This window comes from Homo sapiens, chromosome 10, assembly GCF_000001405.40.
Source record: "Homo sapiens chromosome 10, GRCh38.p14 Primary Assembly".
Taxonomy (NCBI): Eukaryota; Metazoa; Chordata; class Mammalia; order Primates; family Hominidae; genus Homo; species Homo sapiens.
Genome location: NC_000010.11, coordinates 92,055,067 through 92,080,987, shown reverse-complemented (window position 1 = coordinate 92,080,987; position 25,921 = coordinate 92,055,067). Strand labels below are relative to the sequence as shown.

The 25,921-nt window shown below is 41.8% G+C and overlaps 1 protein-coding gene across 24 annotated transcripts in view, besides 2 other annotated features; it reads left to right on the top strand.

Annotated features, from left to right (window-relative positions):
- The window catches only part of CPEB3 (cytoplasmic polyadenylation element binding protein 3), a 244,542-nt gene that overhangs the window by 210,246 nt on the left and 8,375 nt on the right, over positions 1 to 25,921 (top strand). For 3 of the 24 annotated variants that reach the window (XM_047424815.1, XM_011539518.3, XM_047424816.1), the window contains one exon: positions 954 to 1,187. The exons of the other annotated variants lie outside the window; for them this stretch is intronic. In XM_047424815.1, coding sequence (XP_047280771.1) covers positions 954 to 956 — 3 coding nt within the window. In that variant the 3' untranslated portion in view covers positions 957 to 1,187. Of the gene's footprint in view, positions 1 to 953; positions 1,188 to 25,921 lie in introns of those variants that run through there. 24 annotated transcript variants of the gene reach the window in all.
- Positions 4,656 to 5,317: an enhancer, noted in NCBI's record as "OCT4-NANOG hESC enhancer chr10:93835428-93836089 (GRCh37/hg19 assembly coordinates)". NCBI's record gives its function as "activates a minimal SCP1, AML or CMV promoter by ChIP-STARR-seq in naive and primed H9 embryonic stem cells {active_cell/tissue: H9 hESC(naive and primed)}" and the evidence as "EXISTENCE:reporter gene assay evidence [ECO:0000049][PMID:30033119]".
- Positions 23,403 to 23,904: an enhancer, noted in NCBI's record as "NANOG-H3K4me1 hESC enhancer chr10:93816841-93817342 (GRCh37/hg19 assembly coordinates)". NCBI's record gives its function as "activates a minimal SCP1, AML or CMV promoter by ChIP-STARR-seq in naive H9 embryonic stem cells {active_cell/tissue: H9 hESC(naive)}" and the evidence as "EXISTENCE:reporter gene assay evidence [ECO:0000049][PMID:30033119]".

Sequence of the window (25,921 nt, the reverse complement as noted above, 5' to 3'; positions counted from 1 at the left end):
CTCTTAAACAACAAAGAAACTTAGATTAACATTTAAACATTCAGGAGTATGTATGAGATGTTGAACTTCTGGTTTGAAAATTGCCAAATGACCGGGCGCGGTGGCTCACACCTGTAATCCCAGCACTCTGGGAGGCCGAGGCGGGTGGATCATGAATCAGGAGATCGAGACCAAACCATCCTGGCTAACACGGTGAAACCCCGTCTCTACTAAAAACACAAAAAAAATTAGCTGGGAGTAGTGGCAGACACCTGTAGTCCCAGCTACTCAGGAGGCTGAGGCAGGAGAATGGCGTGAACCTGGGAGGTGGAGCTTGGAGTGAGCCGAGATCGTGCTACTGCACTCCAGCCTGGGCGACAGAGCGAGGCTCCGTCTAAAAAAAAAAAAAGAAAATTGCAAGATCATACATTGTGGCAATCATTGGAGTCAAATAGCTGCTTTTCCCTTCAGTCTCCTCTTCAACTCATTCTGTTTCTCCTGCTTCCACCATATATGCACATGCCTTACCTGCCACACTGTTCATTGGTGTTACCTGCCTGCCCTCTAGAGACATTAAGAGTGCTACCTCTGATGTAAAGAGGGGGCATGAAGTAGAGTTTTAGGCAGTTGGTGTACTTAATAGTTTTGCAGATTGGCATGAGTTTAAATTCCTTGAATCCCAGCTTTGCCACTGTTTGCAATCTTAGGGGTATGGAAGGCAGTAAGAGCCAATCTGGACCCTGTATTAATAAATGAAAAGAGCATGTAGGAGAATAGCACCAAGTCTTTTTTTTTTTTTTTTGAGACGGAGTCTTGCTCAGTCACCCAGGCTGGAGTGCAGTGGCGCAATCTTGGCTCACTGCAACCTCCGCCTCCCGGGTTCACGCCATTCTCCTGCCTCAGCCTCCCGAGTAACTGGGACTACAGACGCCCGCCATGATGCCCGGCTAATTTTTTTTTTTTTGTATTTTTAGTAGAGACGGGGTTTCACCATGTTAGCCAGGATGGTCTCGATCTCCTGACCTCGTGATCCACCTGCCTCGGCCTCCCAAAGTGCTGGGATTACAGGCATGAGCCACCGCGCCTGGCCGAGCACCAAGTCTTGAACACCTGCCTGTGCAACTGTGCAGTGACTATTAATTCTTCTAGTAAAGAATGTTCTTGGGGCATCACTGGACTATAATTAATAAAGTAGTAAATCTGTTCTATATGAAGTTTCACTAAATATCCTCTACAGTCAACTTTGACTAATTTTGTGTAGCAGGCAAGTTTCTTAGGTAAAAATTTTAACTGGTGATGGATTTTTCATATTCAGGATTATATTTTGTTAAGACATGTATCCGATCAAAAACTACAAGAGCCAGGGCTTAGAATAAATATTCTATTTGCTACTTCACTGAGCTTCTTAAGAGTAAGTGGTAGTGGTTTGCTTTTTAATTAAAATGAATAAAATAATTTAGAATTTTGAAACATTCTTTAAATTCATGGAGATTCAAAAGTGTAATAAAGATTCAACTCCATTCCTGGTTTTTAAGTACCCATAGCAATCTGAGCATGGGTACCAAACTGAACTCCATGCATTTTTAAGTATCCATAGCAATCTGAGCATGCCCTTTTGTAACTGTAAACCCCCACAAGACTGTAAGCTCCACAAAGATGGGCATGCTGTCTCATTCTCTGCCTGATCTCCAGTATTTACCCATTGCTCGATTTAGTCATTGATGCTTGATAAACCTTTGTTGAATTAACACATGGTGCTACTTGGAGGGTTCTTTTAACTTCTGCTGCTGTTGCTGGTAGACGTGCTTGTGCCTGTACATTTGCGAGTCATATACCAGATTCCATTACATCGAGACCTCTATCGCAACCATCACTGGCGAACCTAGGCAATGAACTTAACCTGAAGAGCTTTGGGTTCTTATTTATATGGAAGTAGCTTTCTTTTTTCTCCTCTAAAGCCAGAACTAGTGACTGTACAGGAAGTAGGTCCTGGAAATAATAAAACCTGGAGGAGGCCTCCATTTCTCCATGTTTCTACCTTCCCTTTGCCTCCATTCTACGGACCTCCTGGCCTATTTCTTAGTAGAGGGAGATATGCTTGCCCCAGGGATTTATAGTAGTCATTGAGCCCCTGTAAGAATCATAATAAATTCAGATATATTTGTTTTGTTGCCTACCGCTATTCTCACAGCTACTGCGAGGCTCAGGTCCTCAGTATTTCTTCCCACAAGATTAGAACTAAGTTAAAAAGGAGAGAAATGGCTTTGCTTTTGTTAGCATGATTGTAGAACATGCTATGAAAATGTGTTTGGAACATCAGACTTCTCAGGGCTCAGGAAAGCCATTGACTTTTCTGCTTGCTATAATTGGGTTAACCATATACTGTTTATATCTCAGAGTAGTCCTTGGTAAACATTTAAGGTAGCAGCCAGTTGTAGTGGAAAGAGTAGGGAATTTGGAGCAAGAACAGATTCCAATACATTTAAACCTTTGCTGCTTCAATCAGTCACTGTCAAGTCCAAGCAAGTTACTTAAGGCCAGAAGCCTCAGGTCCTCATCTGTAACTCCTTCCTGGGGATGGTCTGAAGATTAAATGAAATTTTACTTCTCTTAAGGCAGGTCGAAAGGTATTTAACCAGCAAGTATTCATCTTGCTACAAATGTACTTAATATTTATTTTTGTTAATATTATATAGCTTGAGTTTTAAAAGTTGCTCTGTTGAAGAAGTAGCAAAAAGGTACACTGGTTAGTGAAAACAGCACTGGTCCCGAGTCAGATGGCCTGGGTCTAGATCTGGTCTTGTTCTCCTTGGGGTTATATGACCTTGGGCGGGTCACTTAAATTCTGAGCTTCGGTGTACAGTGAAGGCAATAGTAATAGCCTTGGGCATCCCATGAGATTGGTGAGAAGCCTGGAAGAGAGATTATTCAAGAAAGCAGTATGTACACTGTGTATGTGTATGGTGGGACTGTTGCAGTGGGCACAAGAATGCTACTTCCATGTGATATTGGAAAAGGACCCAACAGTTTCTTCAGTGCCCTGGGGTGAGAGTCATCTGAGTGGGAATACTGGAAGTCATTGAAAGTGGCAAAGTCCCTACTCTCCCTTTTTCCCCTCAGGGACCAGCTCCATCTTCTTCGTTTGCCCTGACCAATATGGAGATCTTTTCCCCTCCCCTTCACTCCCCTCCCCTCTCCTCCCATTTTCTTCCCCTCCTCTCCCCTCCCTTCTCCTCCCATCCTCTCTCCTCTTCTTCCCTTTTCTTCTCTTTTTGTGACAGGGTCTCACCCTGTCACCCAGGCTGGAGTGCAGCTTCAACCTCCTGGGCTCAAGTGATTTTCCCACCTCAACCACTCCAATAGCTGGGATCACAGGTGCATACCACCATGCATGGCTAATTTTTTTGTATTTTTGGTAGAAATAAGGTTTCACCATATTGCCCAGGCTGGGCTCAAATTCCTGGGCTTAAGTGATCTACCTGCCTCAGCCTCCCAAAGTGCTGGAATTACAGGCTTGAACCACTGTGCTCGGCCCAACATCCTTTCTTTATTATGAGAGACGCAAGCCAACTTCCATCTTGAGTTGGGCTCTTTTTCACTGTTCATCTGTGAACATTACATTCCCTTCCCCAGAACTGTTACTCTGTCCCCTTCGTTTTCTTCTTGCTTAGAATATAGCCAGTAGTACTTTATTTTATTGCCTCTGGCATTTTGAGCTTCTGTTAACTACACCTTTCATAGGTACATTTTTAGGTTCATTCATGGTTTTATTTTTATTCATCTTTCTCCTAAAGCTTACATTTAAGCTTTCCAGAGAGCTCCCATTTCATATAAGCACTTTTGTATTTCCTTAGGTAATGCCCTTTTTCTTTTTCAGAAAAAATGATCATCCATGATTGTCTACAGAGAATTTCTATCACTAGGCAAACCTTGTTTCCTGAATAACCTCTCCAAGTTTTTAGTAGTAGTCTCATATCTCATAGAAAGGTTCTGAAACTTGCAGTGCTAAAAGTCAGGAGCACATGTCCACCTGTGTAAACAGTCCCTTTTCCTTGCTATTACAGATTCCAAGGTGCCACAGTCATTTCCTTCCTCCCTCCCTTCTTCCTTCCTTCCTCTTCCTTCCTTTCCCTTCCCCCTTTCCTCCTCCTCCTTTCTTCTCTCTCTTTCTTTCCTCCTCCTCCTCTTTCTCCCCTCCTCCTCCTCTTTCTCCTTCTTTTTCTTCCTTCCTCCTTCTTCTTCCTTCTTCTACTTTGAAACCTTTATTTACTTTCCCATATCAACAAACATGAGTAGGCCAGGCACAGTGGCTCATGTGTATAATCCAAGCATTTTGGGAGGCCAAAGTGGGAGGAGCACTTGAGCCCAGAAGTTCGAGACCAACCTGGGCAACATACGGAGACCCCATCTCTACACACACAGAGTTTTTTTAAATTAGCCAAGTATGGTGGCACATGCCTGTGTGATTCCAGCTATAGGGAGAGGCTGAGGAGGGAGGATTGCTTGAGCCCAAGAGGTCAAAGCTACAATGAGCTTTGATCATGCCACTGTACTCCAGCCTGGGCAACAGAACAAGACCTTGTCTCAAAAAAATAATAATAATAAATCATGGATTATTATGTGATGATTATGTAGTGGCTAAGTCTTATATCTCCTCAGGAAAATACAGTACTATTGAGTGCTGTGGACTCTATAGAGAACTTCAGTCTTTGGTCATAGCATTCATCTCCTTCCTTCTGATGGGAGCCCAGAGTTGGCTTTAAACCAATACCTTGACTATTTTAAGTAGCATCAACCTTTATTACCTTTTTACTCAAAGCATCTCCTTTGCTGTCTGCATCATTATAAATATAGATGCAGTGAATTTTTAAAACTAGAGATGGCATTTAAGGGTCACTTACTTCCTGTTTGCAGCCCTTATCCCTTAAGGAGAGTGGGAGTGGGCCACCTGCAGAGCAGCAATGCCTGACCATCAAGTGAGACAATTCATTAAGTGTTGGAACAATGAAAGCAGTAGGGCCATATGAGGTGTGTCCCCTCAGGTTGCAACTTTCTTGTGTACAGTGTGGAAGGTACATGAAGAAGAAATTAACTGGTATATCTCCTTTATCTCTTTTATATCCAACCAACTTTTTCCAAAAAAGATATCTCTTTTGAGAGTTTATATGTTTATTATTGTTGTTGTTGATCTTTGGCGAAGCTTTTATATGGAGTGTTTCATGGGAGAAATACAAGCTTTATAGATTTGATTTCTTCTCACCATCTTAGAGACTTTTTGGCTTGCTTGTGAATAGAAAATATGTCAGTAGGCAACATTTATATTATTTAATTTATCTTTGTTATCCTGTAGATTTGGTACTTTTATCTCTGCTGTCATTTCACTCATCCATAATCTCATGGTCTTTAAGGAAGAGGTGTTTTTGTTGTTGTTTGTAACAGCTTTATTGAGCTGTTTTATGCTATTCACATAGCATACAATTCACCCAGTTAAAGTGTACAATTACATGTTTTTTCGTATATTTACATAACTGTGTAGCCATCACTATCTGTTTTAGAACACAGAGGTATTTTTTTAATCATCCCGTATTTCATGTCTTAAGAAACATAGAGGTGTTTTAATGTACAGCCTTTAAGTCTGCAATAAGATCAACTGCATAATAACAATAGCGGAATGGTGGTAGGGGATACACTTTATTCTCTGTAATTATTCAGCTCATAATATAGAGAGGATCCTACTTATTTAACCTGTGCTCTTCAAAGTTACAGGAACAAAGTAGCCCAGGCTCTTGGGGGAAACTTCTGAACCCTGCTATTACTGTGATTAGAGTCCCTCTTGTTGGAGTAAGTTGATAAATCTACACATCAGCAACGTTTTGCTGTGGCATGTCCAGCCACGGGAGGACTAAGAGAAGTGGAAGAGGCTTCTTCTACTAGGAGTTCCTCACAGAGCTGCTATGATCTTAATTCTGTCACTTTTGCTCAGGAGTCTGAATGGAAGTGCTTGGCACACAGCAGGCACTCACTAATGTGCAGAATCAAGTAGGAGGATATATAGGAGGGTAAGGACTGGAAGCAGCCATGGAAGCCTGGATACTAGACATCTAGAGTCATCTCTCAACTGGACATCTAGCATATCTTCCCCTATGGCTCCCCAATTCACTTTTATCCCATCTCCAAGTCATTTTTTACACAGCAACGAGAGCGAGCTTTTTATACTCATAATTTAATCATGTCTTTTCACTCCTTTAAACCTTTTGATTATGTTCCACTGCCCTTGGGATAAAGGTCAAAGTCCTTAAAATTGCCTAAATGACCCTTCATGTACTATGTACTTCTGCCTTACCACTCACTTCTCCCTTCCTTATCTTGAGCCAGCCACAGCTGGCCTTTTCCCCTATTTCTCAGGGTCATTATACATACGTTGCCTGGCTAATACCCACTTTTCCTTCAGGTCTCAGCTGAATTGTGATATTTTTAAGAATCCTTTCTTCATTGGAGCTTATACGTCCCCAATAGATTGTTGTCATAATACATGTCTACCATTCATTTGTAGCATTAAATGCCAGTATAATGAAATAATGCTTTGTTTAGTGTCCATCTACTCTGTTAGATGATACAAATTCAGGAGGGTAATAACTGTCTTTCAGTGTAACTACAGTATACACAATGCCTGACACCTAGTGGACACACATTAATTATTTTTGAATTAATGCGTGAATGAGTTATTATAGTGAATGAATGAAGATTGAGAGGTGACCCAAGAGGCCAGACACAGTGGCTCATGCCTGTAATCCCAGAACTTTGGAAGGCTGAGCTGGGAGGACTGCTTGAGGCCAGGAGTTTGAGACCAGCCTGGGCAATGTAGCGAGATCTCATTCTCTTAAAAAAAAACCATTTTTTTAATTAAAAAAAAATAGTTAAAAAGAGAGGTGGCTCAGATGGGAAGACCTTTTAAACCATTCTTTCACATATCCAACTGTCCACCAGAGAGCACTTTGCACAGCTTTCTTTTTCTACTTAGTTAAGGACACTCTAAAGAAATTTAGATTTCGCTGTTCAGAATATCAAAAGTGTTTTTTGGCACTTATAATACACCCAAGTTGGACTTAACTTTAGGCATGACCTGGTCCAACCCTCTTTGTTTTGCACACAGGAGAATCTAAGAGAGGTTTGGAAACTTTCTCAAGATCCTTGACAACTGAGGGCAGAGCTGTCTTTTTTGGACGCCCTTCCTGAGCCTTGCTGCTCATCCAGGGCCTCGCACCTATAATCCTAATGTTTTGGGAGGCTGAGGTAGGAGGATAGCTTGAGGCCAGGAGTTCAGCTTGAGGCCAGGTGTTCAAGACCAGCCTGGGCAACATAACAAGACCCTCATCTCGCCAAAAAAAAATTTTTTTTTTAAATTAGCCAGGTGTGGTGACACATGCCAGTAGTCCTAGCTACTTGGGAGGCTGAGGCAGGAGGATCTATTAAGCCCAGGAGCTTGAGGCTACAGTGAGCTATGACTGCACCACTGAACTCCAACCTGGGTTTTGCCACGTTGGCCAGGCTGGTCTCAAACTCCTAACCCTAGGTGATCCACCCACCTTGGCCTCCCAAAGTGCTGGGATTATAGGCATGAGTCACTGTGCCTGGCCTCTGAAACATTTTGTTGTAAATGACACAGATACGGCCAGGCGCACTGGCTCACACCTGTAATCTCAGAACTTTGGGAGGCCAAGGTGGAAGGATCACTTGAGGCCAGGAGTTCAAGACCAGCCTGGACAATATAGTGAGGCCCAGTCTCTACAAAAAATAAAAAAAATTAGCAGTGCATAGTGGCACATGCCTGTAGTCACAGCTACCCGGGAGACTGGGATGGGAGGATTCCTTGAGCCCAGGAGTTTGAGGCTGCAGTGAGCTACGATTGTACCTGCCTGGGTGACACAGTGAGACCCTATCTCAAAAAAAAAAAAAAAAAAAAAAAAAAAGACAGAGATTCATGCCTTAGTTTTTACTTCTAAGGAAAAAAGTCATTAGCATCTTGAAATAAATAAATAAAGGCTTACCTTATGGCTCATGTTTACTAGTTATTGGCTGATTGGTAATTTGTCCCTGTGTTGACAATGTCAATGTTGTATGATACTCAGCACATAATTCTCAGCATTTCTTCTGCCTCCGCATACTTGAGGTGTATGTTACACTCGTGCGTAACAGAGGCTCCCTAGAACTCTAATAGAGTGGGGCAGTCACAGGCATGATCATTAGTATGTAAGTGGGGGATACATCCCATACTCAACTCTGTCCCCACCTCCTAGAGAACCATTGCTGTAGTTGAACAAAACAAAACAAACAAACAAACAAAAGTACTGGCTTAGGAATTCAGAGATCTGGGTCTATTCCTAGCTTTTTCCAATCGTGGTATGATCTTGGGCAAACTGCTTAACCTTTAGAGGCTTGATTTCATTATCCTGAGGTAATAAGAACACCAGCCTAACTACCTCACACTTTATTGCGCAGATAAACCATGACAGTTGAAGAAATGCTCTGGGAAGTTACTAGGCTGAACAGGCAGATGTTGATTTGTATTATTGCTGAGCCTGGCCTATTTAAATTGTGCTATGGCCTAATCATACGTCCAAAGGCTAATTGTTGGCTCTTTTTTTTTTCCTTTTAAAGTATTTATTCAGTTCCATTAAGTATCCTTGATATAAGGAAAATGAAATAGTTGAAGTTGATACTTTAAAAAAGGTTAACATAGGTGCCAATCTGTCAACATTCTGGTTGGATGTTAGTCAAGACATGCATGTAAAGACTTAAGTTCCTTTTATAGATGTAGACAACTGGGTATGTTTTTTCATTTAAAGGATCGAAGGCTTTTTTCATTTCAGTCTTGAAAGTGGTATTTTTACCAGTATCTTTTCGATACTGAAAAGATTTTGAACCTGAAATGAAATACAGGTTAGGATTAAATTTTGCTTATATTCCTTTGAATGGTGTTTCTATAAAAAACTGAGTTTAAAGTATTTAAACACAATAAGAGCCAAAGATGGCACCTGTACACATTCTTTCTGTTCTAGTGGTATTTTTAGAAGTGATGCCAAATGAACTCTTAAGATGTAAAAGCTTTGCTAAATCCAGTTTTTTAAATGTAATGGAAATCTAGGTCATTTACATATGAAAGATTTTTGTAGTATGAAAATGAGATCATTGAAAATGGGTAATTCTTTTATGTGGCTGGTTTTGTATTGTCTACTCTGTGTGGTCATGAGAAAAAAATTTTTTTTTTTTTTTTGAGATGGAGTCTTACTCTGTTGCCCAGGCTGGAGTGCAGTGGTGCGATCTTGGCTCACTGCAACCTCTGCTGCCTGGGTTCAAGCGATTCTCTTGCCTCAGCCTCCCGAGTAGCTGGGATTACAGGCGCCTGCCACCGTGCCCAGCTAATTTTTTTTTGTAGTTCTTAGTAGAGATGGAGTTTCACCATCTTGGCCAGGCTGGTTTTGAACTCCTGACCTCGTGATCCACCTGCCTCTGCCTCCCAAAGTGCTGGGATTACAGGTGTGAGCCACCGCTCCCGGACAGTCATGAGAAAATTTTTAAAGTGTAGAATCAGTTGAATATCCCTTAGCCTAGCAAAAACATATGACTTGATAGATATGAAAAATTTGTTTATAAAAATCTGGGGCAACTCCTGCTGCCCCCCAACACAACCATTGTCTAGCTCAGCTTGGTCATGTTGTCCGCTAGAAATTTGTAAATCAGATCTTTACAACTTTAAATGCATCATGCAGTAGACATTGGTTATAGTTTCCCAATACATCCCATAGAAATATTTTTACTAGTAGAAAGGATACTAGACTAGAATCAGCCAATCTGGGGTTTTAGTCTTGACTGTATCACTTATTATATAGCTTGAAGGAAGTGTGTGTGTGTGTGTGTGTGTGTGTGTGTGTGTGTGTAAATGAAAGTGTTTTTGAAAACTGTAAAGCACTCTGTCAATATACGATAGCACTGATAACACATTATGTCAAACCATGGATGACTAATATTTGAACTCTTCTGGAAGATGCTTATTAAAAACAATCTAATTGGAATTTCAGGTGATAAAGGGAGTTAAATATTTCAGGCAAAATCGGGGTAAAGTTGGTTGATTATTTGAGTTTTTTTTTTTTTTTTAAACCTGTCACTGACTTGAAGCTTATATATGAGTTTTTTATTTTTATTTTTATTTTTGTTGTTGCTCTTGTTGTTTTGAGATGGAATCTCATTTTGTTGTCCAGGCTGGAGTACAGTGGCACAATCTTGGCTCACTGCAATCTCCACCTCCTGGGTTCAAGTGATTCTCCCACCTCAGCCTCCGGAGTAGCTGGGATTACAGGCACCCACCACCAAGCCCAGCTAATTTTTGTATTTTTAATGGAGACAGGGTTTCTCCATGTTGACCAGGCTGTCCTTGAACTCCTGATCCCAGGTAATCCACCCTCCTAGGCCTCCCAAAGTGCTGGGATTACAGGTGTGAGCCACTGTGTCCGGCCATATCTGAATTTTTTAAACAGAGGAAGAGATCTCAGCAGGCAGGTCTTCTCTACCCATATTCTAGGGAAAAAGTCCCTACAATTAGTTCCTCTGTGTTTCTTAAAGTATGCTCCATAAAACATGAGTCTCCTGGGATTTTATTATCTATTTTATTTAAAAAATTTTGCTGAGTCAAATGAGTTTGGAAATGCTTGTTTAAAGAAAGGCTGGTTTATTCTATGACATATTATAATCTTTCATATACTAATCTTCATTGTGAAGACCCAAGAAGGAGGCAATATGCAGTTTTTCACAAATTTGTTTCGATCATGGAAAAATGTGTCATTTCTTGGAAATAATGTTTTAGAGAACCCAGTTGAGAAAAACACTGTGTTTGCAGCTTCTTTCCTTCTTTCATGCTCAAATGCAGAAGCTTAATAAGCAGTTGATTGTTTTTCCCTTTCTCTTAGTCCCTTTTTTTCCAAATGTGTCCCATCTACCATGTATTTTATATCTACAGAGGGTTTCGGACAGGGCAAGGAAATAGCAACTGCATGTCCATGTAGTAGTGGGGCATTGACATTGTGGTTGATATTCCCTTTAGTATTTGTAATTCTTTATCTTTTGATTATTTGAGATTATCTGTCATATCTAAAATGTCTCCATATAAGAAGGAAAAATCGTTGTTGAAATCAGTATACCATTGACAAAGTGTTCCCGTGACTCTATTTTAGCTTCATGTTGGGAACCAGAGCGACTTTTAGTTTGCCAATTTTGGACTTTCTAATACTTTTTATTTAAAGAACATTGTAGCTGGCACAGTGGCTCATGCCTGTAATCCCAGCACTTTGGGAGGCCAAGGCGGGTGGATCATTTGAGGTCAGGAGTTCGAGACCAGCCTGGCCAACATGGTGAAACCTCATCTCTACTAAAAGTACAAAAATTAGCTGGACGGTAGTGGTACGTGCCTATAATGCTAACTACTCAGGAGGCTACGGCAGGAGAATCACTTGAGCCTGGGAAGCGGAGGTTGCAGTGAGCCGAGATCACACCATTGCACTCCAGCCTGCGTGACAGAGTGAGACCCTGTCTCAAAAAAGGCATTGTGATAGCTAAGCACAAAATATTTGCTTTGAGTAGCATGTTCTTTAGAATAGTCAATTTTTTATTTAATGACCTTTTATCCATTGTACCATTCTTTGCAAGTACCTTAAGTACTTAATATATTTAATCTTTTTTTCTCTCTCTGTTTAGTTGACACATGTTGGGCATTTACTAGACTACCAAAGGGTGTATATTTTTAGCCTACACGAAGACTAATATGACCCATATTTCCATTAGGAACCATACTAACAGAAATGCTGATAATACTGTACTTTGTTCCTGACCACAGCAGGAATATATACAATGACTCAATAGCAAAAGAAGTAAGGATGAGATGACCTGTTCTCAGACTATTTCTACTCCTATCCTTAGTTGGGATTCATACAACCCAGCCTTTATCTTGCTGCTCTTAGTGGTCCCTGCCTGACCTGGCTTGAAAGCTTCCTAGCTGTGTCTATAGCTATGTTTGACTTGACCCTAGAGGAAACAACACTCAGAAGTGAGTTCAAGTATCATCTGAACTAATCCTACCTGGGCTTATTTTGAAGTACTGGGAGTCCCAGAGCCCTTGACTAGAAATAGTTTTTTAAAGGGAGTTTGGGTTATCTAAAGGAAGGTAAAGATCTTTGAATGGAATAGAACCTTTTGTCCATGCTCTCCTTCCACGTCCTGACTTCTGACTCTCCTGTCCTCCTCTGTTCTTTCATGTCTCCTCCCTTGGACTTGTGATCATTTTTAATATGAAAACTCTTTACAGTGATTTAAATATTCATCTTTCCTGCTCATAGTTGAGTGTAGAGGTTGTTTATGAGATAAAGAATTGGAAAAAAGTCCATTGCCTTTTTTCTAAATACTTATCTCAGTAGAACATTCAGATTCAACTCTAGAAGTCAGGTGTTAGAAGTAAGTTAGCAGTCTTTTGGTGAGTGCTTATTCCTACTTGTTGAAACCCCTCATAGGCTAGGGGAAACAGAGGCCCGTGAGGTTGTGTTATAGCCAGGGTGCTCTGCATCTCTATACCCTGAGGGGGTGATACCATGATAGTTACTCATTTCACATTTTTAACGATTTTCTTGCCCTTTGTTCACTATATGACACTAGCACTTGGTTTTGGACTGATTTATACCCATACCTCCAGCCCCATTTCCAAGCAGCATAGCAGGAAACCAGACTGTGCCAGATACTGTCAGCCCACCCCTCTGTGTTTCATGAAAACATTATCTTAAGGCTAAACAGAGCAGCCCTCATAGAACTCTTTGCACTCCATAAACATATGGCAGAGGCATTGACACAGAAGCCCTGCTATGGGAAAATAAGTAAGTTCTTAAACTGTGGGAAGGGCACAAAGGTAATTTTAAAATCTTTCATAACCCTAGCACTTGAGAATGTGAAAAATGGTAAGTCTCATCCTTTGTAAGGTAAAAACAAAATAAAATCCCAACTGTTTCCCCTCTGATTTTTAAAAATCTACCCTAGATTGCTTCTAAAATTAATAACTGTGGGTTTGCTATATCTGAGACATTTGTTGGTGTGGAAAAGCTGTTTTCACATTGCCACTTTAATTTTATCTATTTTTATTTATTTATTTTTTCGAGATGGAGTTTTGCTCTTGTTGCCCAGGCTGGAGTGCAATGGTGTGATCTTGGCTCACCGCAACCTCCGCCTCCCAGGTTCAAGCAGTTCTCCTGCCTCAGCCTCCTGAGTAGCTGGGATTACAGGCACGTGCCACCACGCCCAGCTAATTTTGTATTTTTAGTAGAGACGGGGTTTCTCCGTGTTGGTCAGGCTGGTCTTGAACTCCTGACCTCAGGTGATCCGCCTGCCTCGGCCTCCCAAAGTGCAGGGATTACAGGCATGCGCCACTGCGCCCAGCCTGCCACTTTAATTTTCTTTCTTTTTTTTATTTCTTTGAGACGGAGTTTCACTCTTGTTGCCTGGGCTGGAGTGCAGTGGTGCTATCTTGGCTCACTGCAACCTCCGCCTCCCAGGTTCAAGAGATTCTCCTGCCTCAGCCTCCCAAGTAGCTGGGACTACAGGCATGCGCCACCATGCCTGGCTAATTTTGTATTTTTAGTAGAGATGGGGTTTCTCCATGTTGGTCAGGCTGGTCTCGAACTCCTGACCTCAGGTGATCCACCCACCTCGGCCTCTCAAAGTGCTGTGATTACAGGCGTGTGCCACTGCGCCTGGCCACCACTTTAATTTTCTAGGCATCTGTCATCTGCTTTCTAAACAACAGCATTCCAGCTCATAGTTGAAAAACTAAAAATTTATTTATTATTTTTAGTTTTTTTATTAATAAAATATTTTTATTTATAAAAAAATAAATTTATTTATTATTTTTATTTTTATTTATTTTTTGAGATGGAGTCTCGGCTGTGTCACCCAGGCTGGAGTGCAGTGGCGTGATCTCGACTCACTGCAATCTCCACCTCCCAGGTTCAAGCAATTCTCCTGCCTCAGCCTCCCAAGTAGCTGGGATTACAGGCACCTACCATCATGCCCGGCTAATGTTTTTTTGTATTTTTAGTATAGATGGGGTTTCACCATGTTGGCCAGGCTGGTTTCTAACTACTGACTTCAAGTGATCCGCCCGCTTCGGCCTCCCAAAGTGCTAGAATTACAGGTGTGAGCTATCGCGCCCAGCCAAAATTTATGTTTAGACATTCTTTGTATTGTCTGTTGGTGGAGGCCCTGCTTTAGCGACCAGAAAGACACCATATTTAGTGGGAATATTAATGAGGTTACGGTGGTTTTTAGGCCTGGCTAGATGTACTGTATGACACATGCCAAGAAGATTATGATCACATTATGTTTAAAACCTTTTAGCACACCAGATAAATGGGCTTTCCAAGAAGCTATGTTGCTCCAGATGTTAGGAAATGGCCTAAGTCAGCCAGGGCCCTTTCATGGGGTGCCCAGGTTCACATTAAGGCCAGATCTGAAAACAGGGACATTTATACTCAACCCTTAATTTTATTTATTTACTTATTTATTTATCTATCTATCTGTCTATCTATTTATTTTTGGAGATGCTGTTCAGGCTAGACTTGAACTCCTGGGCTCAAGTGCATCAGCCTCCCAAGTAGCTGGGATTACAGGCACACCTCACCATACCCAGACAACCCTTAATTTTTTAAACATTTTTCCCTTAAATAGTTCTAAAACCAAGTTTTTAGTGCTGCTCTTTTCCTAGCCATTGCATAGTATATTTTTTAAAAAGGAGAACTTTGATACATTATTACTGATCTCTGCTTGATTTGACTCTAAAGAGTCATAGTTTCAGGATTTTGGCTGAGCTGACTTTTTTTTTTGAGACGAGGTCTCACTCTGTCACCCAGTTTGGAGTGCAGTGGTGCAGTCTTAGCTCACAGCAACTCCTGCCTTCCAGACTCAAGTGATTCTCACACCTCAGCCTCCCGAGTAGCTGGAACCACAGGAGTGCACCACCACGCCTGGCCAATTTTTTGTGTTTTTGATAGAGAGGGGGGGTCTCAGCATGTTGCCCAGGCTGGTCTCGAGCTCCTGAGCTCAAATGATCTCTGCGCCTCAGCCTCCCAATGTGCTGGAATTATAGGTGTGAGCCACTGCACCTGGCCGAGCTGACTTTTTAAAGGACAGGCAAAACCCAGGTGTGAGTTCAAATTATGACTTGAACTGATTCTAAAAGGGCTCATGTTAAAGCACTGAGTCCCAGATGTACTCTTTAAATGAAGCTATTGTAGTTTAAATGTAATTTATTAAACTTATTTGAGGTGCTATGTTCCCTTAGATTTTCTCAGACCTCAGGAATGTGTCTAAAAAAAACAGTGAACTGGGGTTGAAATTTTCCTGGGGTTGAAATTTTCCTCTATCGGTCAGAAATAATACTCATTTTAGAAATGCTCTTTAGCCAGGTGTGGTGGCTCATGCCTGTAATCCTAGCACTTTGGGAGGCCAAAGCGGGCAGATCACTTGAGGCCAGGAGTTCAAGAACAGCCTGGCCAACATGGTGAAACCCCATCTCTACTAAAAATACAAAAATTAGCCAGGCATGGTGGCACATGCCTGTAATTCCAGCTACTCGGGCGGCTGATGCACGAGAATCACTTGAATCCAGGAGATGGAGGTTGCAGTGAGCCAAGATCATGCCACTGCACTCCAACCTGGGTGACAGAGCGAGTGACCCTGTCTCAAAAGTAAAATTAAAAATTAAAAAGTAAAGAAATTCTCTTCTCTTGATTGAGTCATATATTTGCAACCTTCTTAACTAATACATTGATTACCCAATATGGGGGACATTATCTATCATGGCAGTGAGCTCTGGTTATCTTGTGTCTAGACTTAGCTCTGTTGTGTTGCCTTTAACAATTGAAAATGTTGTATCAACAGCTTGCTTATGTTATCAGTTGATTTCTCACTTCTCTTTATCATTGATAACTACTTTGTATGGTCTGATTTCTCGAAGTAACCTAGTGAGTTAAAAAAGAAAAGTTCAAAGAAACTAAATTCCTCATTACTGAGGTATACCTCTTTAATGAATATAATTCATTCCTAAGAGGTATCAGAGTATTTCTGAAACACACGGTATATTGAGCTCACATTAAACAGTGACCACGGGACAGCCTCTAGTTGGTGGAGTTTCTACTTCTGATCCTGGAAATGCTGTGGATGTCTATGGCCATATTATAGATGTCTCTATTGTGAATCATGGCCTCCTTTCAGCCAGCATAGTGTAGGATCTCCAAGTGAGTCAGGTCCTTCTGACAATGTCATGTCCTTCTAAAGTGAGGTGCTCAAAATGGAAAGCCAGAGTTGAGGTTTCTTACCCAGAGTACAGCTGGCTATTCCTTTCAGTGGTCTAAATATTTTGCCTCTGTTGATAAAGCCTGACAATGCAATGGCCCCTTGTAGCATTTGGCCTAAATCTCTGGGTAGTCTGGAGAGAGACAGAAGGTACTCACTCAAGTCCCTGTGTCCAGTAGTTTACCCCAACAATGTGATTATGAGAGCCTCTCCTTTGAAGCCAGAAGAGGAACCCAACCTCAGAGCTAATGTTTTCCATTCAAGTAGCCCCCATACTACTTCTCACCTACTCTATCTTCTGGGTTCTCTGAAATCACCACTGGAGCCAGTATTCTCTGGATTGACCTCTGTTTGCTAGATTTCTCTTAAGCACAGAGGTGCTCATGTCATTATCTCTTTCCTCTGATATAGTATGGCAACTCTACACATCTCTTCTGCCCTTCACACCCATGACCTCAAGTTCATTGTTTTCCTTCTTATGACCTGCAACAGATCCTTAGATTAGGTTTGTTCTGTTGTCAGCCTCTTCATATTCCTGATTCTTTGAGTTAAAGCCTTGCTTGATGTGCTGCTTAACTACATCTTCTTTACACTTTGACTTACCAATTTTTTGCCAATTTTTTTCTTTCTTTCTTTTTTTGACCCAATACTACACTTTGGCTGTGTGCTGCCAATTTTTCTGACTAGATACCAGCCTTAGATTTATTCCTATTAAATTATATCGCTTCACTGCTTCTTTTTCCAGCTTGTCTACTTTGATTCTGTTATCTGAAATCCTTGTTTCTACTTGCCTTCTAGTCACTCATAAGCATGCTTTACGTGCCTTAGGATAACTAGATATCTGACTGATTTTTTTTTTTTTGGATACTGAGTCTCGCTCTGTCACCAGGCTGGAGTGCAGTGGTGTGATCTTGGCTCACTGCAACCTCTGCCTCCTGGGTTCAAGCTATTCTCCTGCCTCAGTCTCCCAAGTAGCTGAGACTATAGGTGCGCGCCACCACACCTGGCTAATTTTTGTATTTTTAGTAGAGACGGGGGTTTCACCATGTTGGCCAGGATGGTCTCAATCTCTTGACCTCATGATCTGCCTGCCTTGGCCTCCCAAAGTGCTGGGATTACAGGCGTGAGCCACTGGGCCCGGCTGGTGTCTGACTGATTTATTTGGTTGTTCCCACCACCAAAGACAGACTGTAACAGAGGCCAGTCTTTGGCTGTCCTTAATAGAACTTTTAGTACATAACTCAAACTTAGCCTGACCTTGGCCAATGCCTCCTTTCTATTACTACAGCTTTTGAGGTCTGAGAAGGAATTCTGCACCTGCGAATAGTTTACGGTCTCCCTAGTGTCTATTCTCTGCCACTAAGAGTTGTTTAGCCATTGCTTTATTTACTTCAGGAGGTCAGTTTTTTGAGTAATAACAAAATGACTGCAGACGGAAATATTTTCTCTAGCTTGTTAGAAACAAAGCAATTAAGCATTGAGATCAGTTTGTTAAAAAGTATGGCTTTCTCTTTGTCTGTAGCATTCTAAATATATTATTCCCTTTACCAACTTCTCTAGCCACTCATCTAAGGCTCCATATCAATCCATCTTATCCTTAGTGGTTACAAGCTCATCAGTAAATTACATGTATTCTTCAGCATCTTTGGGTATAGTCATCTCCATTAGGCTTATGAGTAGGAATCTAAATGTCTCTCCATAGGTAGTTCTCATCTCCTTTGCCTGCAAGGCCCTTTGAAACAGAGGTTCAGCTTAACGATCTGATCAGCTCTGCATGGGACTCTAATATTTGAGCTTTAATGGTAATATAGATCAGTAACGTGATCTCACCAGACTGGTATGTCCAAAGTATCATAGGTTAATGATATTCCAGGTAATCGTAGTGGTTAACAGATAAGCCGGTTTTTATTTTGTTATATATTTGTTTGTTGGGAAAAATAGAGTTAATTTGGATAATCTACTAAAATATTAGGTAATAGTATAGATGGGACTGGGATATGGCAAAAACCACAAATGGTTTGGGAATGCTTTTCAGAAACTGTTTTATAGAGCATAAGTTATTTTAGGAAAGAACTTTGTATTGGTCTACAATTCATTTCAGTTTTAATAAGGTGGCTGACAAGGAACAGGCACTCCATAAATACTAGTCATGTGGGTGAATCCACTTGACCCAAAATAATCACCCTTCAATACGAGCCAACCTAAACACCCATCTCCTTCATGCAGCTACTTCTCTTTTGTTTTTTTGTTTGTTTGTTTTTGGTTCCTTATGTCCTTTTATTCTTTAACAATTTATTTTATTTTCTATTTTTGTTGGCAATTTTAGCTGGGATTATAGGTGTGTGCCACCATGCCTGGCTAATTTTTTTTTTTTTTTTTTTGAGACAGGGTCTCACTCTGTTGCTCAGGCTGGAGTGCAGTGGTGTGATCTCAGCTCACTGCAACCTCTGCTTCCCAGGTTCAAGTGATTTTCTTGCCTCACTCAGCCTCTGGAGTAGCTGGAATTACAGGCGCCACCACCACACCTGGCTAATTTTTGTATTTTCAGTAGAGATTGGGTTTCACCATGTTAACCAGACTGGTCTCAAACTCCTGACCTCAAGTGATCCACCTGCTTCCACTTCCCAAAGTGTTGGGATTACAGATGTGCACCACTGTGCCAAGCCAAATTTTTATACATAGTGGGTGTAGATAGTAGATATTTTGATATAGGTATGCAATGTGAAATAAGCACATCATGGAGAATGGGGTATCCATCCCCTCAAACATTTATCCTTTGACTTACAAACAATCCAATTACACTCCTTATTTTAATATACAATTAAGTTATTATTGACTATAGTCACCCTGTTGTGATATGAAATAGTAGGTCTTATTCATTCTTTCTGATTTTTTTGTACCCATTATCCATCTCCATCTCCTGCCCCACCATAGCTTCCCACTACGTTTCCCAGCCTATCCTTCTACTCTCTATGTACATGAGTTCAATTGTTTTGATTTTTAGATCCCACAAATAAGTGAGAACATGTGATGTTTGTCTTTCTGTGTCTAGCTTATTTCACTTAACATAGTGATCTCCAGTTCTATCCATGTTGTTGCAAATGGCTGGATCTTATTCTTTTTTATGGCTGAATGGAACTCCATTGTGTATATGTTCCACATTTGCTTTATCTATTCATATGTTTTTTTTTTTTTTTTTTTTTTTTGAGACAGAATTTCGCTCTTTTCACCCAGGCTGGAGTGCAGTGGCGCGATCTTGGCTCACTGCAACCTCCACCTCCCGGGTTCAAGCGATTCTTCTGCCTCAGTGTCCCTAGTAGTTGGGATTACAGGCACCCGCCACCACACCCAGCTAATTTTTGTATTTTTAGTAGAAACAGGGTTTTACCATGTTGTCTAGGCTGATCTCAAACTCCTGACCTCAGGTGATCCACTTGCCCTGGCCTCCCAAAGTGCTGGGATTACAGGTATGAGCCATCGTACTCGGCCCATTCATCTGTTGATGGACACTTAGGTTGCTTCCAAATTTTAGCTATTGTGAACAGTGCTGCAACAAACATAGGAGTGCAGATATCTCTTCGATAGACTGATGTCCTTTCTTTTGGGTATATACCCAGCAGTGGGATTGCTGAATCATATGGTAGCTCAATTTTTACTTTTCTAAGGAAACTCCAAACTGTTCTCCGTGGTGGTTGTACTAATTTTCATTCCAACCAACAGTGTACAAGGGTTCCCTTTTCTCTACATCCTTACCAGCATTTGCTATTGCCTGTCTTTTGGATATAAACCATTTTAACTGAGGTGAGATGATATCTCATTGTGGTTTTGATTTGCATTGCCCTGATGATCAGTGATGTTGAGCACCTTTTCATATTCCGTTTGCCATCTGTATGTCTTCTTTTGAGAAATGTCTGTTCAAATCTTTTGCCCATATCTGATTGGTTTATTAGATTTTTTTCCTATAGAGTTGTTTGAGCTCCTTACATATTCTGGTTATGAATCCCTTGTCAGATGGGTAGTTTGCAAATATTTTCTCCCATTCAGTGGGTTGTCTCTTTGTTGATTTTATCCTTTGCTGTGCAGAAGTTTTTTAACTTGATGTGATCCTATTTGTCCATTTTTGCTTTGGTTGTCTGTTTGTTGGGGGGTTTTGCTCAAGAAATTTTTGCCAAGACCAATGTCCTAAAGATTTTTCCCAGTGTTTTCCTTTAGTAGCTTCATAGTTTGAGGTCTTAGATTTAAGATTTTAATCTATTTTGATTTATATATATATTTTTAGACAAGGTCTTCCTCTGTCACCCAGGCTAGAGTGCGGTGGCATGATCTTGGCTCACTGCAACCTCCACCTCCTGGATTCTCATGCCTCAGTCTCCCAAGTAGCTGGGGTTACAGGTGTGCGCCACCACACCTGGCTAATTTTTTTATATTTTTGGTAGAGATGGGGTTTCACCATGTTGACCAGGCTGGTCTCAAATTCCTGACCTCAAGTGATTCACCCACCTCGGCCTCCCAAAGTGCTAGGATTACAGGAGTGAGCCACTGCATTCAGCTGAGGGTTTTTATCATGAAGGGATTTTGAATTTTATCAAATACTTTTTCTGCATCAATTAAAATGATAATATGGTTTTTATCCTCCATTCTGTTGATATGATTGATTTTTTTTTTTTTTTTTTGAGGAGTCTCGCTCTGTCGCCAGGCTGGATTACAGTGGCGCGATCTTGGCTCACTGCAACCTCCGCCTCCCGGGTTCAACTGATTCTCCTGCCTCAGACTCCCCAGTAGCTGGGAGTACAGGCGCATGCCACTATGCCCAGCTAATTTTTGTATTTTTAGTAGAGACAGGGTTTCACCATGTGGGTCAGGCTGGTCTCAAGTTCCTGACCTTGTGATTTCTGATTTTATTTATTTGAATCTTTTCTTTTTCTTAGTCTGGCTAAAAGTTTGTCAGTTTTGTTTAACTTTTCTATTGTCTTTTTCATTTCAATTGCATTTTATTTCTACTCTGATCTTTATTATTTCTTCTATTAATTTTGGGTTTCGTTCTCCCTTGTGTTTCTAGTTGTTTCATCATTAGATTGTTTTTTTGAAGTTTTTTCCCCGTTTTGATGTAGGCTTACACTATAAACTTTCCTCTTAGTACTGCTTTTGCTGTATCCATAGGTTTTGGTATGTTGTGTTTTCATTATCATTTGTTTCAAGAAAATTTTCAGTTTCCTTCTTAATTTCTTCATTGACCCACTGGTCATTCAGGAGCATGTTGCTTAATTTCCTTGTATTTGCTTTTTCTTTGTTTTTTTTTTGACAGAGTTTCACTTTTGTCACCCAGGCTGGAGTGCAATGGCGCAATATCTCGGCTCACTGTAACCTCCACCTCCCAGGTTCAAGCGATTCTCCTGCCTTAGCTTCCAGGTAGCTGGGATTACAGGCATGTGCTACCATGCCTGGCTAATTTTGTATTTTTAGTAGAGACGGGGTTTCACCATGTTAGTCAGGCTGGTCTCAAACTCCTGACCTCAAGCGATCCACCTGCCTTGGCCTCCCAAAGTGCTGGGATTACAGGCATGAGCCACTGTGCCCCACTCATGTATTTGTATAGTTTCCAAAATTCCTTTTGTTATTAATTTCCAGTTTTATTCCATTGTGGTTACAGAAGATGCTTGATATTATTTCAATTTTTTTGAATGTTTTAAGACTTACTTTGTGACCTAACATATGATCTATCCTTGAGGATGATCCATGTGCTGAGGAAAAGAACGTGTATTCTGTAGCTTTTGGATGAAATGTTCTATAAATATCTGTTAGATCCCTTTGTTCAATAGTGTAGATTAAATCTGCATCTTTCATCAATAAAGATGTTTCTTTATTGATTTTTGGTCTAGAAGATCTAGCCAGTGATGAAAGTAGGGTGTTAAAGTCTCCAGCTATTATTGTATCGGAGCCTATCTTTCTCTTTAGCACTAATATTTGCCTTCTATATCTGGGTGCTCCAGTGTTGGGTGTATATATATAATTAATTTATATATATATATATATGTATGTATGTATGTATGTATGTATGTATGTATGTATGTATTTTTGAGATGGAGTCTTGTTCTGTCGCCCAGGCCAGAGTGCAGTGGCACGATCTCAGCTCACTGCAACCTCCACCTCTGGGGTTTAAGTGATTTTCCTGCCTCAGCCTCCTGGGTAGCTGGGATTACAGTTACTTGCCACCATGCCTGCTAATTTTTTTTGTATTTTTTAGTAGAGACAGGGTTTTGCCATGTTGGCCAGGCTAGTCTCAAACTCCTGACCTCAGGTGATCCACCCACCTTGGCCTCCCAAAGTGCAGGTATTACAGGCGTGAGCCACTGTGCCCGGCCCGAATATATATTTAAAATTGTGATATCCTTTTGTTGAAGTGAGCCCTTTATCATTATATAGTGACCTTTGTCTCTTCTTTGAGTTTCCTCAGCACAACTATTTTGAATTCTCTGTCTGAAAGGTCACATATCTCTTTTTCTCCAGGATTGGTCCCTGGTGCCTTATTTAGTTTATTTGGTGAGGTCATGTTTTCCTGGATGGTGTTGATGCTAGTAAATGTTCTTTGGTGTCTGGGCATTGAAGAATTAGATATTCGTTGTAGTCTTCACTGTCTGGGCTTATTTATACCTGTCCTTCTTGGGAAGGTTTTCCAGATATGTGAAAGGACTTGGGTGTTGTATTCTAAGCTGTTTCTGCTTTAGGGGTCACCCATGCCCAGTAATGCTGTGGTTCCTGCAGACTCATAGACGTGCTGCCTTGATGGTCTTGGGCAAGATCTGGGAGAATTCTCTGCATTACCAGGCAGAGATTCTTGTTCTCTTCCCTTACTTTCCCAAACGAACAGTCTCTCTGTTCTCAGCCACCTAAAGCTGGGGGTGGAGTGACACAAGCACCCCTGTGGCCACCACCACTCTGACTGTGCTGTGTCCGACCTGAAGCCGGCACAGTACTGGCTTTTGCCTAAGACCTGCCATAACCACGCCCTGGTTACTGCCTGTGTTCGCTCAGGGCCCTGGGGCACTACTATCAGCAGGTGGCAAAGCCAGCCAGGCTTGTGGCTTTCCCTTTAGGGCAGCGAGATTCCCCAAGCCTCTGGGCAGACTCAGAGGTGCTCTCCGGGCATCATGTACTTAAGTGGAAAACCTTAGAAGTCTACCTGGTATTCTATTGTATTGTGACTGAGCTGGTACTCAAACCACAATTGCAGTCTTTCCCACTCTTCCCTCCCCTTTCCAAAGGCAGAGGAGTCTTACTTTTCAGCCACCGCCACCCCAAGCCATGAGAAGTACTGCCAGGCCGTTAAGGCCCTAGGGCTCTTAAGTCAGCTCGTGGTAAGTACTGCCTGGCCTGCAACCCATATTTCAGGGCACTAGGCTCCCCTCTGGCCCAGGGCAGGTCCAGAAATGCCATTCAAGAGTCAAGTCCTAGAGTTGGGGACCCCAGGAGGCTGCCCAGTGCTCTACCCAACTGTGGCCGTACTGGTACCTGAAGCCAGCAAGTCTCAGAGGCTCACCCAAGGTCCTGGGTGTCACTGCTGGCTATTCAGGGCCCAAGGGCTCTTCAGCTAGCAGGTAATGAATGCTGCCAGGACTGGGTCCTTCCTTCAAGGCAGCAGGTTCCCTTCTGGCCCAAGGTGTGTCTAGAAATGTCACCTGGGAGGTAGGGCCTGGAAAAGGGACTTCACAACTCTGACTGAGCCCTATCCTTCTGTGGCTGAGCTGGTATCCAAGATGCAAGACGAAGCTCTTCCCACTTTTTCTTCTCCTCTCTTCAAACTGAAGGAAGAGGTCTCTTTTGGAGCCATGAGCTGTGCAGCCTGGGGTTAGGGCAGGGGTGATGCCACCACTCCCTTGGCTGATGTCTCAGTAGTCCACGTGCCCCCCGAATCCACTGTCTCTGGGCCTAGTTCAGCACTAGGACTCACCTAAGTGTTGCAGTCCTTATGGCCTAGACGGACTTTCAAGCTGATTTAAAGACACAGAGCACTGTAGCCCACAGTGGCGAGGTTTGGGGGAACTCAATTTCCCACTGCTGGAATCAGAGATTCCCCTCAGGCTTGGGCTGGTTTAAATGTGTGGTGATTCGGGACTATTCTTCTGACTCCTCAGTGCTTCTTTCAGCAATATGAAGATAAAACCAGGTACTACGAGGGCCTACCTGATTTTTGGCTCTTCTAAAGGTATTTTTTTCTGTGTAGATAGTTATTAACTTCCTGTTCTTGTGGGGCATGGGTCGGGTGGAGGTTGATGGGTGGAGACTTCTATTCTTCCATCTTGCTCTGCCTGTCTTCTGTTGATTTCAGTCCAGAAATACTGTTTGACTGTTGCTGTTTGAGAGGTCGTAGTAGCTAACTTGCACATCTGTGTTTGTGGAGCATCGTGGTGTGTGTCTTGTTTTTGGGCAAGCCTCTGCTCTTCAGACAACACCTCATGAACAGGTGCAGGAGCAGCTCTGCAGGGACAGCACCCTCGCTCATCTGGAAGACTGCCCTCTGGAAGCTTTCAGGAAAGGCCTCTGAGAGCACAGTCACAATCCAAAAGCCACGTTCTTTGTTTATTTTTACTATTATTACATATATATTTTTGAGACAGGGTCTCACTGTGTCACCCAGGCTGGAGTACAATGACACAATCTTGGCTCACTGCAGCTTCTATCTCTTGGGCTCAAGGGATCTTCCCGCCTCAGCCTCCCAAGTAGCTGGGACTACAGGTGCATACCACAACACATGGCTAATTTTTTTGTTGTTGTTGCCCAGGCTAGTCTCGAACTCCTGGGCTCAAAGGATCCTCCTGCCTCACCCTTCCAAGGTGTTGGGATTACAGGTATGAGCCACTGCACCCAGCCTAATTTTTTTTTCACCATATTAAGAGTCATATCTATTGGCATTTAATGTTCAGCTCTTCACAAACTTGATTTTTCTAGCTTTCTAGGCAAAACGAAAATGATGGGAAATTGCAAACTTAAAAGAGGTGTTTGGAAGGTGTTTTAGATATGATAGCAGACCACCAGCTTTTGAAGGGGGCCGACAGAAAAAGTGAAAACTCTCTACTGCATTGTATTACTTGGCATTCCTTATGAAGAATGTTCGTAATGTCTCCTGCTTAAGAGGGGGTGGGGGACTAGTACATTTTAGCAAGATTTTCATCAAAAAACATCAACATTCAAGATATGTTGGCACCAAAAAGGAGAAGTGCCTGGTTTCTGGAAGAATAACTTGAGGTATATGTTATTCCCTAAGAAAGCTGGTAAATAAGGCATCACTTTGTGCCTCTGGCCTCGAGGCAGTTATGAAAACCTTCATGACACATCTGAAATACTGTGTAGACTAGATCCCTCAAAACCCTTCAGGCAGTAAGGAGCATTGTTACCAAGCTTAGTTGGAAGCCCAAATAGACAGAAGGTGCTGTTTTATTAATACTGCATTTTCAAATATCAGCACAAATGTATTACATGACCTTACATATGTTTGTTAAGCATTTTACAGCTTGCAGTAGGTATTTGTATCCATCATTCCACTTGGTCCTAATATCCCTGT